Source organism: Homo sapiens, chromosome 4 (assembly GCF_000001405.40).
Source record: "Homo sapiens chromosome 4, GRCh38.p14 Primary Assembly".
In the NCBI taxonomy this organism is placed as follows: Eukaryota; Metazoa; Chordata; class Mammalia; order Primates; family Hominidae; genus Homo; species Homo sapiens.
In genome coordinates this window covers 139,285,354-139,304,040 of record NC_000004.12, presented here as the reverse complement: position 1 = coordinate 139,304,040, position 18,687 = coordinate 139,285,354, and the positions used below count along the sequence as shown (strand labels likewise).

Sequence of the window (18,687 nt, the reverse complement as noted above, 5' to 3'; positions counted from 1 at the left end):
GAGGCTAAGGCAGGAGAATGGCGTCAACCCAGGAGGCGGAGCTTGCAGTGAGCCGAGATCGCGCCACTGCATTCCAGCCTGGGCGACAGAGCGAGACTCCGTCTCAAACAAACAAACAAAAAAAAGTGCTAACACTTGAGAAAATCTCCATATGAACCAGATATTAGACAATATTAGAGAATGATTGTTATAAGTATACAAGACGATGTCCTTATTCTTAGGAGATGCTTGCTTAAGTATTTAGAGATGAAGTTTTTTGTTTTTGTTTTGAGACAGTCTTCCTCTGTTGCCAAGGCTGGAACTGCAACCTCCACCTCCCGGGTTCAAGCGATTCTTGTGCCTCAGCCACCCTAGTAGCTGGGACTACAGGCGAACACCACCATGCCTGACTAATTTTTGTATTTTCAGTAGAGACAGGATTTCACTACGTTGGCCAGCCTGGTCTCGAACTCCTGACCTCAAGTGATCCATCTGCCTCAGCCTCCCAAAGTGCTGGGATTACAGGCATGAGACACCGTGCCCAGCCTAGAGATAAATTTTACATCTACAACTTACTTTTATACAAATGTATATATACATATACATAGGGAGAGAGAAAGCATATATGGCAAATAAATATAAGTAAAGGTTTATGAGTGTTCCTTGTTCTCTCAACTTTTCAGTTTCATTTTTTTCAAAATAAAGAATTGTGAAAAAGAGATTAAAGATAAATTGCTATTCTAAACTTATGTTACAGTTCTACCTGCACACCAATTAGTCTTTTTAAGGGTTTAAAAGTAACTTTTTTCCTAAAACTATTTTACAGCTCCACCTACACTCTTAGTCTTAAAACAAAACAAAATTCCAGTAAGAATTTCAAGGTAACAGTTTTGCGACACTGCATGTGACTTTCTAATGTTTTTCAAAATGAATTCACTAAATCTGTAGGGCATATGGACACTTTTGTAAAATCAAAGTTAGTTCAAATGGATGATTATTCATTTCTAGAAAAACTGAATCCCCAGAGTTGTTCTACTTTTCAAACAGGTGAAATAAATTATAACTGCGGGGGAAAAGGCTAACACTTTCACACACACATCCCAAATTTTAAAAGTCTTAAATTTGGCAAATACAGTTAATTCTATCATAAGGAAACGTTTGCGTGAAAGGGGGAACCCACATACTAAATGCCAAACAAAAAATGTGCTACAATGTGTTAATTATAGCTCCAAGGCTACAGGACATATTTTACAATGTAAACAGTCCCTGCAAACATCAATGCATTTATGGTTTAAAAAAATACAAACTGCACACATTTGAACCGTAGGGAATAAGTCTGAGCTAGCGTCAACAAAATCCATCTCAAAAGTTCTTATATTCTCATTTCTCTGGTAAGTTTTTGCATGTGTTAATATACTTCAGTGTATAAGAAAAGTCTAGGTCTGCAACGTTTCAACTAAAGACTCAACTTTTTACTTCCTACCGAACCGCCCCCTCGCAATGGGCCCCACCTCCCGAGAAGAGTGACGGGGTGGGGCTGTTTCCCGCTCGGAAACTAAGAAATAAATGCCTCATCCCTACTCCAGAAACGAGAACAACGGAGGCAGAGGAGCTGAAGACTCCAGTATGCAACTGACTACAAGGAGGTAGTCGTTTGAAAAGCTTTCTTTCCTTCTCTGAACTCCTTCTTTCCCTCCTCTCAGGTCATTGGGTGACCCCGGGCCGGGCGGAGACAGGTGAATCCCAAGAGAGGAGGAAGAGGGAGGGACAGATGATGGAGGGAGAACCGCGTTTAGGCAATGAATGAGCCTGCTGCATCCGCACCACCTGTTCCTTCCAAGGGTGCCACCCCGACCTGCCAGCAGGGTTCCCACACCAACCGGGCCGCGACTCCTGCCGGTGTCGCCCACTTGCCCGCCAAAGGCCGGGCCTCTTCTCCCCCAGATCGGGGAGAATGAGAACCGGCAGTCTAGAAGCCGGGAGGTCGGGGCCTAGTCCGGAACCAGGGCCTCAAGCGTGGGGATGGAATGAAGAAGCCTGTGGTCCCTGGCGCGCGGGCCATAGTAGGAACCACAGAGAGGGAGCAAAGCAATGCATTCGGCCTGACGAGAGCTATGAAGGCGGGGTCCCGGGCGGGAGTGGCTCAGTGCCCGCCGGGCCGAGGTTAGGGGTGACAGGCCCGGTTACCGGCTAAATCCTCCCCACCGCTTGCCCGGAGCCTCACACTTACCAAGATCCGCTTGAAGAGCGCATTCTCCTTGGGCGGGAGGCTCACGGCCGGCATCGTTCCGGCTGCTCCCGCTGCTCCCGCCACCACCCGGCTCGGTCAGTCAGTTTGTCCGACCGCCGCCGCTGCCGTTCCGTAGCTGCTTCAGCCTTGAATATCTCGATCCGCCGCCACCACCAGGCCTCGGGTGTCGCCGCGTTGCCCTACCCGGACACCTCCTTTTTCCTCGTTGTCTTTTTTCCTTTCTCACTTAACGCTGCCGCCGCCTCCCCCACTACGGGTCTCCGTCGGCGGTTCACGTGGTAACTGAACAGACCGACAGAGGCAGCCAAAATGGCGGACGCGGAGGGTTTTCCCACCCGGGTCACGCTTCCTAACACGCAGGCGCGGTGACCTCCTTTCCCCACCTCCTCTGGGTTTCGGAGCTTGCCGGGAAACCTGGAGGCTGGCCTGCCTGTGGAGGCCGGGAGGGTCGGGGCAGGCCCCGCCCATCATTTCAGTGCGTGGTACCCTCGAAGCGCCCGCGGAGCTACGGGAGGCTAGGCAAGTACGGTTCAGACCGCCTCCTCATCAAAAACAGCCTCTCTGGCGCCTTCCTGCTAGATCGACCTTTCATTCCTTGGAAAGAGTCTCGCACACTGTGTGATCATCGTTTGAGCCCAAAGTGCTAAAATACAGGTGTAGGTGTTTGAGAAGCGCTGTAGTTGATTATGGACGAAATGCCTAATTTAAGGAGCAGAGGCGGAGTGGAAAATGAAAAAAGCTTCACCGCAGTGGAGACTTGTTAACAGCCCTGGGGAGAAAGGGGCTTAACAGAGTCTGGAAATCGTGAAAGAGCTTGACCGATGAAATGGGCCTGGCTGTCGTATCGGTAATTTGGTGAATGTTGCTTAAGATCAGCCTGGAAAGGTAGTTAGTCAGATCCGAAGTGACATATTTGCACTGCCAAAGGAGGCTCTGGAGGTTAAAGTATGTGTTTTAATTTCGTTGTTGAGGCCATATAATGCAGAGTTGACGGACCGACCTTATGAGTCACCTTGGAGCGGAGTAGTGGAGACTTAAAGACAGACTACCCTGGAGCTGGCTTCAAACTAGTTCTTAATATTGTGACTCGAACTCCCCATCCCCAGAAATTCTCAGATCTTAGAAGCCAAAGACTGGCAAGGATACTAGAGGGAACTACTCGAGTAGGCGAGGTCAGACTACATACCGAATAGGAGTCCTTCCAAAAATGTAAGTCATTTCATTAACAGCTGACCGTAAAACTTTTTCAAAGTGGCATTCCATTGATCTAAAAATTTTCAAGTTATATGAGCCACTTTTAACCTTTGGTTTTTGATTACCTCTTTCCAAATCCTGATTTCACTCTGTAGCATTCTTTGCATCATGAATTATTAAACAATATGTGCGTGTTTTTTACTGTTTTAAATTTATTTGCAAAGATATTTTAATTTTCAAACTTCTCTTAACTGTCCCTGAAAGGTGTGAGTTGAGATACATGTTTCCCAATATAAACTTGGGTTTTGTAGCTGCTATATTGATTGTCCTCGCCCTTCACCGGGGTCATAAATAAGGTTTTTAACAGTCAAATCCTGGAGTTTCCTTAAATTCTGTGATCTCTCTTCAAAAGTTTGAGAAAAATCATATATACAGGAAACTATGTTTCAGTTTGAAATATGGCCAGTATTTTAACCTTAACTTTATAAAACTAAGAACAAGCTTATAATTCATTTTTAAGCTGTTACTTAGTAATAACCTGCAAAATTCACTGCCCCAAGAGATCTTTCAACTGTCTGAACTATTGAAAGACAGAAAAAATAGTCTAAATGCAGTTGATAGTTTTAGCTTGGATTTCCAAATCTCTGGCTTCATATCCAAATTTCTGGCTTCATATCCAAAAATCCCTACAGCAATACTATTTGCTATAGTTCTCTAAATTTCTCCTGTAAAGAATATTCTATTTTCCTTCAGAGGAAGAAAATTTCTGGTCTTTGAAACAATCAGTAGCTTCCACCAGAACCTGAGTACCTGATTAGATGAGCCAGAAATAGAGTTTGGCAAATGTTACATTCTTTTTGGGTGATGACAAAGAAATGGCAATTTTAAAGGCTCGGCAAATACTAGTCTGATTCAACATTTAACTGATTCATTTGCTAGTTAAAATGCACCTACAGATAACAGTCTGACCACACAGTAGCCTGAATTGAATAAAAAAATATATATTTACTCTGATCACCACAATTTCACAAATAGAGATCCCATTTGAGTTATACTGTAAGTAACAGCCATGCTTTCAGAAAGTTAACATATCCAAGGCTATATGCTGCCGCTGCTGCTGCTGATGATAGTTAATTCATCTTACCCCATGTGCTTGCATGTCACTATGTTCCAAATGCTAACTCTAAAAAATATTAACCAAAAAGAAAGAAATAAAATCATTTACCTTGCAAACTTTAATTCTACAAAAGGGATATGTTGAGTGAAATTTCTCCATATATGTAAGATGTTCTCTATTGAGACTGTTACATCTTATTAAGTACTTGGATCTTATTTAAAAAAAAAAAAAAGGCTGGGCTTGGTGGCTCACACCTGTAATCCCAGCACTTTGGGAGGCTGAGGCGGGCGGATCACAAGGTCAGGAGTTCAAGACCAGCCTGACCAACATGGTGAAACCCCGTCTCTACTAAAAATACAAAAATTAGCCGGGTGTGGTGGTGCGTGCCTGTAACCCCAGCTATCCAGGAGGCTGAGGCAAGACAATCGCTTGAACCTGGGAGGTGGAGGTTGCAGTGAGCCAAGATCGCACCACTGCACTCCAGCCTGGACAACAGAGTGAGACTACATCTCAAAAAAAAAAACATAGGCCAGGCATAATGCCTCATACCTATAATCCCGACACTGGGAGGCTGAGGCAGGAAGATCGCTTGAGCCCAGAAGTTTGAGACCAACCTGGGCAACATAGTGAGACCCTGTCTCTACAAAAAAATTTTAAAATTTGCCAGGTGTGGTGCTGTGAGCCTGTAGTCCCAGCTACTTTGTGGGCTTGGGTGGGAAGATTCCTTCGGCCCCAGAGGTCGAGACTGCAGTGAGCTGTGATGACACCTCTGCTCTCCGGCCTGGGCAACAGAGCTGAGACCTTGTTCCAAAAAAAAAAAAAGAATATAAAAGAAATTCATGTATTTGTCACCTAGATTTAACAAATGTTAACAATTTGCTATTGCTTCTGGGTTTTTTTTGTGTGTGTGTATAGACAGGATTTCTCAATGTTGCCCAGGCTACTCTTGAACTCCTGGGCTTAAGCAATCCACCCACCGCAGCCTCCCAAAGTGCTGGGATTATAGATGTGAGCCCCAACGCCCGGCCTGCTGCTGAATCTTTTTTTTTTTTTTTTTTTTTGAGACAGAGTTTCGCTCTTGTCGCCCAGGCTAGAGTGCAATGGTGCGATCTCAGCTCACCGCAACTCTGCCTCCTGGGTTCAAGCGATTTTCCTGCCTCAGCCTCCCGAGTAGCTGGAATTACAGGCATGCACCACCATGCCCGGCTAATTTTGTATTTTTAGTAGAGACAGGGTTTCTCCATGTTGGTCAGGCTGGTCTTGAACTCCCGACCTCAGGTGATCCGCCCGCCTCGGCCTCCCAAAGTGCTGGGATTACAGGCGTGAGCCAGGGCGCCCAGCTGCTGAGTCTTAAAAAATAAAAACTTATAGATACATCTTGGTGTGTGGGGAGGTGGGAGGTTGTTGGTTTTTTTCTTTTGTTTTGTTTTTGTGACAGGGTCTCACTGTGTCACCGAGGCTGGAGTACAGTGGCAGAGTCTTGGCTTACTGTAGCCTCACCTCCCAGGTCCAAGCGATCTTCCAACCTCAGCCTCCCGAGTAGCTGGAACCACAGACATGCACCACCACACCCAGCTAATTTTTTAAAAAATCATTTTGTAGAGATAGTTATCTACCTATGTTGCACAGGCCAGTCTTGACCTCCTGGACTCAGGCAATCCATTTACCTTGTTCTCACAAAGTGCTAGGATTAGAGGCCTGAGCCACTGTGACTGGCCCAAGTCCTAAGTTTGATTCATAGTATTCTCATGCATGCTGTATCAATAAAAATAGGGATTTTTTGTTTTGTTTTTTGCATTTTATACTGTTTTTCAATTCTTGCTCTTTTTTTACCTTCCTTGGGAGATGTGATTTTTTCCCAGTGGAAAAATCTTGGACTGAAACTTTGCTTTTCTAGCTGCTAACTCAAATCCTCTCTCTTTTCACCTGGATCATAAATAAGATTTTAGTGTTCAAATTCTGAAGATGCTTACATGAATGTTATGAAGCAACTTCTAACAAAATATTATAGATATTAGTTCCTAGCTGGAATTACTTAATCAGGATTCTTTTCTAGATGCAGTTTCACATACAGCTGGGTACTCCAAGTGTACAGTTCCCATCAGCTCTAATATGGTGAGAAAAATGTGCTTATACTTCATCACTTTCCCAAAATACACACTAGTAAAAGGATACAAGGGCCAAAGCTCTGAAAAAGAACAAAGCAGTCTTTCTCAATAGCAGTACTGAAATTAGTAATTTGCTTACTGGTTCTGAATACTCTGACTAAAGATAGCATCTGTTTCAACTTGTTGGATACTAGCAAAAGCTTCATCAGGACAAGCTTCCAACGGATGGTGTAGAAAGGATATACAACTGACAGGTTGCTGAGTGGACAATAAGTGGCGAACCAACAACTGGCTCAGCACATTCATTGGGTAGTTTACTTACTTGAGCATGAGTCCAGGAGGCTCAAACTAGGTTACAAACTAAAGTGACTCACAATTTAGCAATCCATTTAGCCACCATTTGCATGTTAAAATGAGCCAGAAAACACAGTGCAATTAATTGACTTTTTGGTCAATAATTTTTGGTTAAAAAAGATCTTAAAATAACATTGCTAAAGAGAATATAGGAGATTTGCTAACATTTATTTTGGTTTTAAAATTAATGACATAAAGTTTAAAGGATTAGTTTTAAAGGGTCAAAATGTATTGTCTGTTACCTATAAATATTTTTACTGGTCTTTAGACATCAGATTGAACTGAATTGAATGTACAAAGATCTGGCTCAACTGTGCAAGATAAAACCTATTCCTCAGAACGATGTCTTTAATAGGCAAAACCAAATAAATTGTTTACTACTACCAGACACTTGTTTAAGCTTCTCAGCAACCCTATAGGTTTTATGTTACAGATGTAAAACTTAGGTATAGAGAGGTTAAGTAATTTGCCTAGAAATCATAGAGCTAAAAAGTGGTGAGCAGAATGGCTTTGAACGCTGATTCTACAGCTTATGGTCTAGGGTGGTCCAAGTCTGTTAGGTGGGCTAATGAGGATCACTAGATCTGGAGTCAGAAGACCTCAAACTGTATCCCACCTCTGCCATCTGTGTGATCTTAAGCCTACCTAAGGCACTAATTCTACTTCACAGGTTTGTGAGGCTTCAGTATGATCGTGAGTGTAAGTGGTAAGTGTTAAGAGATCTTTTCAACTGTAAAATATAATATGTCACCTTGGATGAGTAGCTGTCTTCTTTAAGCTTCATCTGTAAATTGAGGCTTATAACCACGGCATGATATGTGCTCGTTTTGAAGATGAAATAAGACAATGAATGTAAACCATATGATACATTAATGCACCGTGCCTGGACCACAGAATTCAATCCAAATGCTAGTTATTATTCAGCACGACACTTTTCTTTCTTCTGGCTCATGTAGGAAAATTTTAATAAACCTCTTGATGAATAGCCGTAGAGATGGGGTGAAAAACCCCCAGAGGACAGAGAATAGGTAAACTCTTTTTTCTTTTAATTATTTTCTTCCTAATTCCACTGTATAGACAGAAGGCTGAGGCCGGGGTGCTAGAGAACCTTGCCGTGCTGGAATTCACGTTGACGCCCCCACGGAGCTCTGCTGCAGAGCCCTCGAGTCCCGCACTTCCGGCCGCCAGGTGGCGCTGGTTCTGTTGCCAACTCGGAGAGACTGAGCTGGGCCACGCAAGATGGCGCCGTCCGCCTTGCTGCGTCCCCTTTCCCGGCTGCTGGCCCCCGCCAGGCTCCCGAGCGGCCGTGAGTATCCTCCTCGTGCAGGCCGACTCGACCCTCAGATTACCCCTCCTAAGGCGGACCCAGCCCACGGGTGCAGGAGGCGGCAGCGGCCCGGGTTCGTCCTGCAGTGACCTTCGCCGGCAGACGACCCAAGGCCCAGCCCACGCCTGTCCCCTACGCAGGGCTCTCTGCTCCCCATCACCCGCCTCTAGCACTTATCCAAGTTCAACCTGACCACTCTTGGCCTTTGTAAATGGACTTTGGGTCCTTGCCTTCCCCACCTCTGTACGTTAGGTCCCGTAAACCGGGAGAGGAGACACCCTCCCCGGGGCGCCCCTTACATGACCACTCCCGAGTCGTCTGAGGGTCCGCAAGCCCTTAAACGAGGCTTTGAAAGCCTCGGACAGGACAGGTGCGTCCTGTCTAACTCGCCAGTGGCCCTGGGCGAGGTACTTGATCTCTTTGAACCTCTATTTCCTTGGCTGTTTAAGTGGGAGATGGGGGAGTTGAAGGGAGAATTAAATGCGATAATACGCACGTAAATGTTAGGGTTTTTTCCCTACAAGGCAGTAAGTTACAAATTTACAGACCCTCTTCCCCTTTCAGCTTCAGTGCGATCAAAGTTCTACGTGCGAGAGCCGCCGAATGCCAAACCTGACTGGCTGAAAGTTGGGTTCACCTTGGGCACCACTGTCTTCTTGTGGATCTATGTAAGTACTTTACTCCCGGATGTCGTGAGACTACACCAGCGTGGTAAGGGAATGACATAACATTGCGAGATTGAATGGTGCTGTTATATGTTGTATGGCAGTGAAACTCTCATAACAGTAGGATATTTATATAATCGCTGATACGTATTTTTCCATAAGAGAAATCCCAAGGACTAAAAAGAAATTAAGATTTCAGCAACATTGAAAAAGTATGATGGGACTAAAATTTCTGTTATTGTTCCTTAACATGGTTTTGTAAGGAATGGCAGTTTTACTAAATAGTAATTATACTTTTTTTTTTTTTTTTTGAGATGGAGTCTCACTCTGTCTCCCAGGCTGGAGTGCAGTGGCGTGATCTCGGCTCACTGAAAGCTCTGCCTCGCGGGTTCACGCCATTCTCCTGCCTCAGCCTCCCAAGTAGCTAGGACTACAGGCGCCCGCCACCACGCCCGGCTAATTTTTGTATTGTTGGTAGAGACGGGGTTTCACCGTATTAGCCAGGATGGTCTCGATCTCCTGACCTATTGATCCGCCCGCCTCGGCCTCCCAAAGTGTTCTGATTACAGGCGTGAGCCACCACGCCCGGCAATAGTAATTATACTTTATTTCTTAATGAGAATTGAGGCTAATTGGAGTTTTATGAAGGTACCTTTTTCAGATGCTGTAAGGACAAACCAGCAGTGTGCAAGTTGTACAAATTGAATCCCAGTAGACTTCCATTAGGTTTTAATCAATGTTTGTATAAATACATTGTTGGAAATTGTACATAGTGTGTAGCGACCTTTTTAAAAAAATTTTCAGGCCGGACGTGGTGGCTCACACCTGTAATCCCAGCACTTTGGGAGGCCAAGGTGGGCGGATCACGAGGTCAAGAGATCCAGACCATCCTGGCTAACACAGTGAAACCTCGTCTCTACCAAAAATACAAAAAAAATTAGCCAGGTGTAGCGAAGGGCGCCTGTAGTCCCAGCTGTTCAGGAGGCTGAGACAGCAGAATGGTGTGAACCCGGGAGGTGGAGCTTGCAGTGAGCCGAGATCGTGCTACCGCACTCCAGCCTGGGAGATACAGCGAGACTCTGTCTCAAAAAAAAAAAAAAAAAAAAAAAAAAAAATTCACACCACATGCTTTACACATAAACTTGCGTTTAATCATTTCAACAACACTACGTGGCACCTACTATTGTTGACCCGTTACAGATAAGAAACACTTGGAGAAACTAGTTTGCTGAACCCAGTTCTCCTGACTTCAGAGGCCACACTATCCTAGAAAAGACTGTGAAACACTGCCTCTGTTGGGATAAAATTTCTTTTTAAAGTTAAAGTATCTGCTATATTAATATTTAAAATTTTGTTTTTTATCTAATGGGTTTGGGACTTCCTCCACTGTCCCCCAGCTCTAAGATATTTTAAATTTTCTTGTTGAAGTGGTTCAGATTTTTGACTTGGAAAGGGGTGAGAGATTTTGAGTCACTTACAACTTAATAGTAACTCATCTTTTTGAATAATGTTGCTTATAATGAATTTTATACATTCTTAATTTAAGGTTTTCTCTAACAAGAAGCTTAATTACTGCTGAGAGCACTAGTGATTGAACTTGGATCTTTGATTGCCATGAATGTCATCGTATATAAGCCATTTTTCCAGTTGCATATTCTGTCAGACAGTGGTCCTAAAAATGTGACTGTCCTCCATGACATCTAATTAATACACATACAGTTTCGTGATGGGGTTGGTCATTCAATCAAGGTATCCTACTTCTAAGATTAGAAGCATAACACGCACCCACCAACCAGCCTGGATCCCATTTAATAACCAAGTTGTGCTGTATCATATTGATTTACCCCTTCATGATAAGCCATTTCATTACGTTTATTACCCACCAAATGAGGTAAAATTTTTGGCAGTAGTTTAATTTAAATTTTTGGCCAGGTGCGGTGGCTCATGCCTGTAATCCCAACACTTTGGGAGGCCGAGGCGGGTGGATCACCTGAGCTCAGAGTTCGAGACCAGCCTGGCCAACATGGTGAAACCCCATCTCTACTAAAGATACAAAAATTAGCCAGGCGTGGTGGCAGGCGCCTGTAATCCCAGCTATTCAGGAGGTTGAGGCAGGAGAATCGCTTGAACCCAGAAGAAGGAGGTTGCAGTGAGCCAAGATCACGCCATTCCACTCCAGCCTGGGGTGGAGCAAAACTCCGTCTCTAAATAAATAAATAAATATATATATATATATTTAAGGGCTCCCTTCTCAAATTTAGGATGTCACATTGTGGTGAGCAAGTTTATACCATTCCTGGTTTTTGAACTTTTGGATCTCTTAGCCTTTTATTTCTAACTAGAATAGTTGTTTATTTTTTCTATCCTTATTCCTTTACAAAATATAAGTATCCAGGAAGATTACATTTCTAATTTTAACTGTTTAACTCTTTGTAGCTCATCAAACAACACAATGAAGATATTTTAGAGTACAAAAGAAGAAATGGGCTGGAATAAACTTTTGAAACACTAATGTAGTAAGTATACAAGCTTATTGGATGAATAGATTATGCAAATTAACTTGACCTCTTTTTTAAATACTGAAAAACAAGCTTGTTGTTTGTTTTGTATTAGGTTTATACATTTTAGCACCCATATTTCTGTCTGTGACAAATTTATAAATTTGTAATACCTTGCCTCAAGCAGTTGGTTTTGTTTTGGGGGGGATGGGGTTTTTTTTGTTTGTTGTTTGTTTGTTTGTAGACCTGTTGGCCAGGCTGGTCTCACTCCTTGCCTCAGCTTCTGAAAATGTTGGAATTATAGGTATGAGCCACTTTGCTAGCCTCAAGAATCTTTTAGCGTAATCATTTTTAATCATTAGTCTTTGACTCTGTTCAAAGAAAGGTATGTTTAAGAATGAAACCAAAATCTGCCAGGCGCGGTGGCTCACGCCTGTAATCCCAGCACTTTGGGAGGCCGAGGCGGGTGGATCACAAGGTCAGGAGATCAAGACCATCCTGGCTAACACAGTGAAACACCGTCTCTACCAAAAATACAAAAAAATTAGCCAGGTGTTGTGGCGGGCGCCTGTAGTCTCAGCTACTCGCGAGGCTGAGGCAGGAGAATGGCGTGAACCCGGGAGGCAGAGTTTGCAGTGAGCCAAGATCGTGCCACTGCACTCCAGCCTGGGTGACAGAGTGAGACTCCTTCTCAAAAAAAAAAAAAGAATGAACCCAAAATCATATTATTTTCTTAAATCTGATAGTGCTTTACACTTTGCTTTCATAGCACTTATGACAAATTATTATTCTTCGTGTGTGTATTTCTTAATGTCTGTTTGGTATCTTGTACACTTGAGTGTGAATTCCATGAGAACAGAAACCTATTTTATTAATTATCCTTTATTCAGCAACTTGCTCATCTGGTCCATTTAGGAGTTTAATATTTGTAGAAGTGATGAATGTATAACGGCAATCGATTCTTTTTATTTTATTTTATTTTTTGAGACGGAGCCACCAGGCTGGAGTGCAGTGGCACAATCTTGGCTCACTGCAACCTCCGCCTCCCAGGTTCAAGCAATTCTCCTGCCTCAGCCTCTCGAGTAGCTGGGACTACAGGTGCGCGCTACCACGCCCAGCTAATTTTTGTATTTTTGATAGAGACGGGCTTTTCCCATGTTGGCCAGGATGGTCTCCATCTCTTGACCTCGTGATCTGCCCGCCTCGGCCTCCCAAAGTGCTGGGATTACAGGCGTGAGCCACTGCGCCTGGCCAGAGCAATCAATTTTTAAATTTTTTTCTGCATGACTATTTCATTATGATTGTCAACTCAACTAATACCCAGTTGGACAGTTCCTGGTAAAAAACCTAGTTATGAACAAGATAGTTTATTCTGCATGGTCTGTGATTTAAAAGAGAAAGTTTATTATATATATATATATAAAATATATACATCTGGCTGGGCGCAGTGGCTCACGCCTGTAATCCTAACACTTTGAGAGGCTGAGGCGAGTGGATCACTTAAGGCAAGGAGTTAGAGACCAGCCTGGCCAACGTGGCGAAACCCCATCAGTACTAAAAATACACAAAAAATAGCTAGGCATGGTGGTGCGCGCCCGTAGTCCCAGCTACTTTGGGAGGCTGAGGCACGATAATTGCTTTAACCCAAGAGGCAGAGGCTGGGAGGTTGCATTGAGCCAATATTGGGCTACTGCACTCCAGCCAGCCTGGGCAACAGAACAAGACTCTGTCTCAAAAATAAATGAATGAATAAATAATATATTCATCTATAGATATGTATCAAATATATATAAGTATACCATATACAGTGTACATATATATATATATATATGGTGTATTTCTGAAAACCTTTTTTAAAAATCCTATATTAATCCTTTTATAAGTGAACAGTCACTTAAAAATCTCAGCTTTCATAATTGGGTTGATTAAGTAACTTATATCTGCTGTATAATAAACATAGCGATCACAGACTATCCTTTTTTTCCATATTTTATAACTCTGAAACTGAGCTCTTTACTGTTGATTATCCAAATCTTTTGCCTTTTTTCTATTAGCACCCTGCCCATTTCACTACTCTAATCAGCCAATCAAGAGATAAAATGAGTCTGGGCTTGGTGGCTCATGCCTGTAATCTCAGTACTTTGGGAGGCCTAGGCAGCGGGATAGCATATGCCCAGGAGTTTGGGCAACATAGTGACTTTGTCTCTACCAAAAAAAAAAAAAAAAAAAAGAGGTAAAAATGAAATAGGCATTGAAATACAAACCAGATGGCTTTTGCTGTTCTTTCATAGTTAAGGCAAAATATTTTTTGTTAAAATTAAATAAAATAAGGTATTGGTACTCTTTGTGGGTCTTTTCTAGACTTTTTCTGATGTTCTAAGGTGAATTCAGAGTAGTTTAATTTTAATATTATTTCTGCTGGTTAATGCTACAGTTTTTTTTTTCTTCATTATAGGTATGCTCCGTATAGTGATTGTAGCTGTTCCTCTGGATTCACCATCTGTTGAGTTGTAAATGTGAGAGAAAAAGTTATATGTGAATATATATCAAGCCAGCATTTGTATTTTGCATCATTAAATAAAAAGAAATAAAAATACTTCTGTATTCTTCAGATAAAGCATATTGTGACAACTTGTAGAAAATGTTAATTCTAAGGTACATTAATAGAAGTATTTCAATATGGAAGGTACCACCTGATAACAAGGTCAGTGGTAATTAAGGACACTTTGGTAAGAAAAGTTGTTGTGAACATAGATTCAAAAATCAGGGCTGGCTGGGCGCGGTGGCTCAACGCCTGTAATCCCAGCACTTTGGGAGGCCGAGGCAGGCAGATCACCTGAGGTTGGGAGTTCAAGACCAGCCTGACCAACATGGAGAAACCCCATCTCTACTAAAAATAAAAAAATTAGCCGGGCATGGTGGCACATGCCTGTAATCCCAGCTACTCAGGAGGCTGAGGCAGGAGAATCACTTGAACCTGGGAGGCAGAGGTTGTGGTGAGCCGATATCGTGCCATTGCGCTCCAGCCTGGGCAACAAGAGTGAAACTCTGTGTTAAAAAAAAAGAAAATCAGGGCTGAAGGATTTACTCTTGTTATCACCTCTTAATTTCTGATCAGAACATTTATTTAGTATATCAGGAAGGCAGAACTACCTTGTTACTCAGAAAACATAGGATCACAAAGATTGTTTTCTCTAGAGGAGTCATTTTGGTAAGTTAGAAAGGAAGGATGAATCCTGTTACCAGAGTGTTTTCTGACTCCTTTAATTTGAATGATTTTCATTTGGGCGACTACTTTTACACACTGTTATGGCAACACAAAATTTGTTGTCTTTTTTTTTTTGCTAATATGACTTTAAGTCTATGATTTAGCAAACTCTAGCTCTTTTTTTTTTTTTTTTTTTTTTTTTTTTTTGAGACGGAGTCTTGCTCTGTCGCCCAGGCTGGAGTGCAGTGGCGTGATCTCAGCTCACTGCAAGCTCCGCCTCCCGGGTTCATGCCATTCTCCTGCCTTAGCCTCTCCGAGTAGCTGGGACTACAGGCGCCCACCACCACGCCCTGCTAATTTTTTGTATTTTTAGTAGAGACGGGGTTTCACCATGGTCTCAATCTCCTGACCTCATGAGTAGCTGGGATTACAGGTGTGTGCCACCACACCCGTCTAATTTTTTTTATTTTTAGTAGAGACGAGGTTTTACCGTGTTGGTCAGGCTGGTCTCGAACTCCTGACCTCGTGATCTGCCCGCCTCAGCCTCCCAAAGTGCGGGGATTACAGGAGTGAGCTGCTGTGCCTGGCAATTTTTTAAAGTTTTTGTACATGTGGGGTCTTGCTATGATGCCCAGGCTGGTCTCAAACTCCTGGGCTCAAGCAATCTGCCTGCCTCTGCCTCCCAGAGTTCTGGGGTTATAGGTGTGAGCCACCATTCCGGCAAAGCCCTTTCTTGTGAATCACTTAAAACTTGTTTCAGTTGCCACTTCATTAATTTGTAATTTAAACATTTATCTCGAATTATGTAGTTGGGCCCAATGTAATCACAAGGTCCCTATAAGTGGGAGAGGGAGGCACAAAAATGTGTCAGAGTGATGTGATGTGAGTGACAAAGAGTCTTCTTTGCCATTGCTTCTTTGAAGATGAAGCTAACAGCCAAAGTACATCAAGAAAACGAATCCCCCCCTAGAGCCTGCAAAGTGGAACACAGCCCTGCTTGATTTTAGCCCACCTTTGTCAGATTTCTCACCTACAAAACTGTTAAGATAATACATTTGTGTTGTTACAATAGATAGGTTTGTTATAGCAACAATATGAAGCTAATATGATTTGTCACATAGTAACAGAGTAAGAGTTCAAGTATCAACTACCAATTCAGGGCACTTTTCACTAAAACACTTAAAAATTCACATCTCTAAAGGGAACAGAAAACTAAGACACTTGAAATTTTGGAAACTTACAGCCTCAGTAGGTGGAAATAAAGTACACCTTTAATAAACAGAACTTAGTGTACATTGGGCTTTGAGAATATAGCTACTTTGTGTTGTGTGGACCTTCCTCTAATTTTTTTTCTTTTTTTTTTTTGAGACAGTGTCTCGTTCTGTCGCCCAGGCCGGAGTGCAGTGGCGCAGTCTCGGTTCACTGCAACCTCTGCCTCCCAGGTTCACGCCATTCTCCTGCCTCAGCCTCCCGAGTAGCTGGGACTACAGGCACCTGCCACCACGCCCGGCTAATTTTTTGTATTTTTAGTAGAGACGGGGTTTCACCGTGTTAGCCAGGATGGTCACAATTTCCTGACCTCATGATCCACCCACCTCGGCCTCCCAAAGTGCTGGGATTACAGGCGTTAGCCACCGTGCCCGGCCTTTTTTTTTTCTCTTTTCCTTGTCTTCGCACAACTGATGATGGACCTTCCTCTTGATTATGCCCCTTTAACTCCAGGGAGCCATTCATGGAGGACCAGGGCTGTCCAAAAGAACTTTCCAACGATGGGAATGTTCTGTCTGTGCTGTCTAGTACAGTAGCCACTAGCCTCTTGTGGCTAATAAGCATTTGGAATGTGATTAGTGTGACTAACTGTTTAGTATTATTTAATTTTAATTAATTTTTTTTTCCTGGAGACAGAGTCTTGCTCTGTCACCCAGGCTAGAGTGCAGTGGCGTGATCTCAGCTCACTGCAACCTCCATCTCCTGGGTTCAAGGAATTCTACCTCAGCCTCCCGAGTAGCTAGGATTACAGGCACCCACCACCATGCCCAGCTAATTTTTGCATTTGTAATAGAGAGGGGGTTCCACCACGTTGGCCAGGCTAGTCTCAAACTCCTGACCTCAGGTGATCTGCCTGCCTCAGCCTCCCAAAGTGCTGGGATTACAGGCGTGAACCACCGTGCCTGGCCTTAATTAATTTTAAATATATATTTGTTAATACATTTAAGAAAAAATGTTTTGTAGAGACAAGGTCTCACTATCCTGCCCAGGCTGGTTCTCACACTCCTGGACTCAAGCAGTCCTCCTGCCACGGCCTCTGAAAGTGCTGGGATGAACAAACCTGAACCACCGCTCCAGCCTAACTTTAATTAATTTAACTAGCTAGATGGGGCTGGTGGCTGCTGTACTGAACAGCACTATTTAGAATTGTGCCACATAGTGGCGCTGGTAAAAATGCTTCCTAAATTAAATAATTGAAACCTAACTCAAACTATGATTTTTTTAAAAAAATTGTGAAGATAGGCCGGGCGCAGTGGCTTACACCTGTAATCCCAGCACTTTGGGAAACTGAAGTGGGTGGATTACCTGAGGTCAGGAGTTTGAGGCCAACCTGACCACCATGACAAAACCCCGTCTCTACTAAAAATACGAAAATAAGCCGGGCGTGGTGGCCAGCACCTGTAATGCCAGCTATTTGGGAGGCTGAGACATGAAAATAGCTTGAACCTGGGAGGTGGAGGTTGCAGTGAGCCGAGATCAAGCCATTGCACTCCACCCTGGGCGACAGAGCGAGACTACGTCTCAAAAAAAAAATATATGAGGATAGAGTGACTCACAGACCCCAAGAATAGGAGTGGACCTGAGCCCAGGAACAATTGAAGCCTGGGACCCAAATGTCATTAAGATTCTTGCTCTTGACTCAGCTATCTGTGAGTCTGCCTTATCTTCTTGGCACATGGACCTTCTCTTCCTCAATCCACATTGTAAAGAGAAATCCACAGCAAATGGTTCCTGAGTTACTTCTCAATTCAAGAGAGTAGCTGGACTGAGCAAGAATCATTCTGATTCTTCCCCAAAGGAATTTAGAGTTGCCTGTGGTCAAGGGATGATTCTTTCAGTAATGAAAGAGTTTCCAGGCCAGGCGCAGTGGCTCACACCAGTAATCCCAGCACTTTGGGAGGCCGAGACAGGTGGATCACGAGGTCAGAAGATCAAGACCATCCTGGCTAACACGGTGAAGACTAAAAATATTGTATATGAATACTAAGAATACTAAAAATACACGGTCTATACTAAAAATACAAAAATTTAGCCAGGCGTGGTGGTACTCACCTGTAATCCCAGCTATTCAGGAGGCTGAGGCAGAAGAATTGCTTGAACCCAGGAGGCGGAGGTTGCAGTGAGCCAAGATTATACCACTGCACTCCAGCCTGGGCAACATAGCAAGACTCCATCTCAAAAAAAAAGTTCCCATATAAAGGAAGATGCAGACAAAATCATATGTCGAGTATAGTCAAATAGTTTAATAATCAAAATCAGGTAGACCTTTCTTCAAGATTTAGGTAGTCACACTTGAAATTATTAAGTTGCCTTGGAAAAACAGGCTGTATAATCTAAGTTTCTGATATAAGAAGTTGTGGGTTGAATTGTTTCCCCAAAAAGGATATGTTAAGATCCCAACTCGTAGTACCTCAAAAAGTGGACTTAATTGAAAATAGGGTAATTGCAGATGTAATTTGCATTACATACTGGAGTAGAGTGAACCCTTAATCCAGTATGACTAGTATATTTAAGAGAAGAGACACATAGGAGAAGATGGCCATGTGATGACAGAGGCAGAGACTGGCTGAATCTACAGCCAGGGATTGCCAGCAAACAATAGAAGCTAGAAAAGGCAAAGAAGGATTCTCCATTAACTTAAAAATCACAAGATCTACAAGTTTGGAAATGGAAACTTTATTTCTTGTAAAGGGTTACAGCCTACAAGGTGGCCATCC

General features: G+C 43.2%; 2 protein-coding genes across 9 annotated transcripts in view, besides 3 other annotated features; one reads left to right on the top strand and one right to left on the bottom strand.

The window, feature by feature from the left end:
- Positions 1-2,536, bottom strand: part of NAA15 (N-alpha-acetyltransferase 15, NatA auxiliary subunit) — an 89,880-nt gene extending 87,344 nt beyond the window's left edge. For both annotated transcript variants that reach the window (NM_057175.5, NM_001410842.1), the window contains exon 1: positions 2,210-2,536. In NM_057175.5, the coding sequence (NP_476516.1) occupies positions 2,210-2,263 (54 nt within the window). In that variant the 5' untranslated portion in view covers positions 2,264-2,536. The remainder of the gene's footprint in view (positions 1-2,209) is intronic.
- NDUFC1 (NADH:ubiquinone oxidoreductase subunit C1) lies at positions 1,490-14,124 on the top strand. Of its 7 annotated transcripts, none has more exons than NM_001184988.1 (6): positions 1,490-1,625; positions 7,674-7,709; positions 8,081-8,309; positions 8,895-8,998; positions 11,432-11,511; positions 13,949-14,124. In NM_001184988.1, the coding sequence occupies exons 3-5, from the start codon at positions 8,243-8,245 to the stop codon at positions 11,489-11,491; spliced, it is 231 nt and encodes a 76-aa protein (NP_001171917.1). In that variant the 5' UTR covers positions 1,490-1,625; positions 7,674-7,709; positions 8,081-8,242; the 3' UTR covers positions 11,492-11,511; positions 13,949-14,124. The 7 variants fall into 7 exon arrangements, with proteins under 7 accessions (NP_001171917.1, NP_001171919.1, NP_001171916.1 ...); NM_001184989.2 differs by lacking the exon at positions 7,674-7,709 and adding an exon at positions 6,598-6,656 and having other exon boundaries at positions 1,564-1,625; positions 13,949-14,110; NM_001184986.1 differs by lacking the exons at positions 1,490-1,625; positions 7,674-7,709 and adding exons at positions 2,831-3,439; positions 6,598-6,656.
- Positions 2,486-2,545: an enhancer, noted in NCBI's record as "active region_21923". NCBI's record gives its function as "activates an Ori minimal core promoter by ATAC-STARR-seq in GM12878 lymphoblastoid cells {active_cell/tissue: GM12878}" and the evidence as "EXISTENCE:reporter gene assay evidence [ECO:0000049][PMID:35858748]".
- Positions 3,026-3,145: an enhancer, noted in NCBI's record as "active region_21922". NCBI's record gives its function as "activates an Ori minimal core promoter by ATAC-STARR-seq in GM12878 lymphoblastoid cells {active_cell/tissue: GM12878}" and the evidence as "EXISTENCE:reporter gene assay evidence [ECO:0000049][PMID:35858748]".
- Positions 7,887-8,450: an enhancer, noted in NCBI's record as "H3K27ac hESC enhancer chr4:140216745-140217308 (GRCh37/hg19 assembly coordinates)". NCBI's record gives its function as "activates a minimal SCP1, AML or CMV promoter by ChIP-STARR-seq in naive H9 embryonic stem cells {active_cell/tissue: H9 hESC(naive)}" and the evidence as "EXISTENCE:reporter gene assay evidence [ECO:0000049][PMID:30033119]".
- Positions 14,125-18,687: the final 4,563 nt, after the last annotated feature.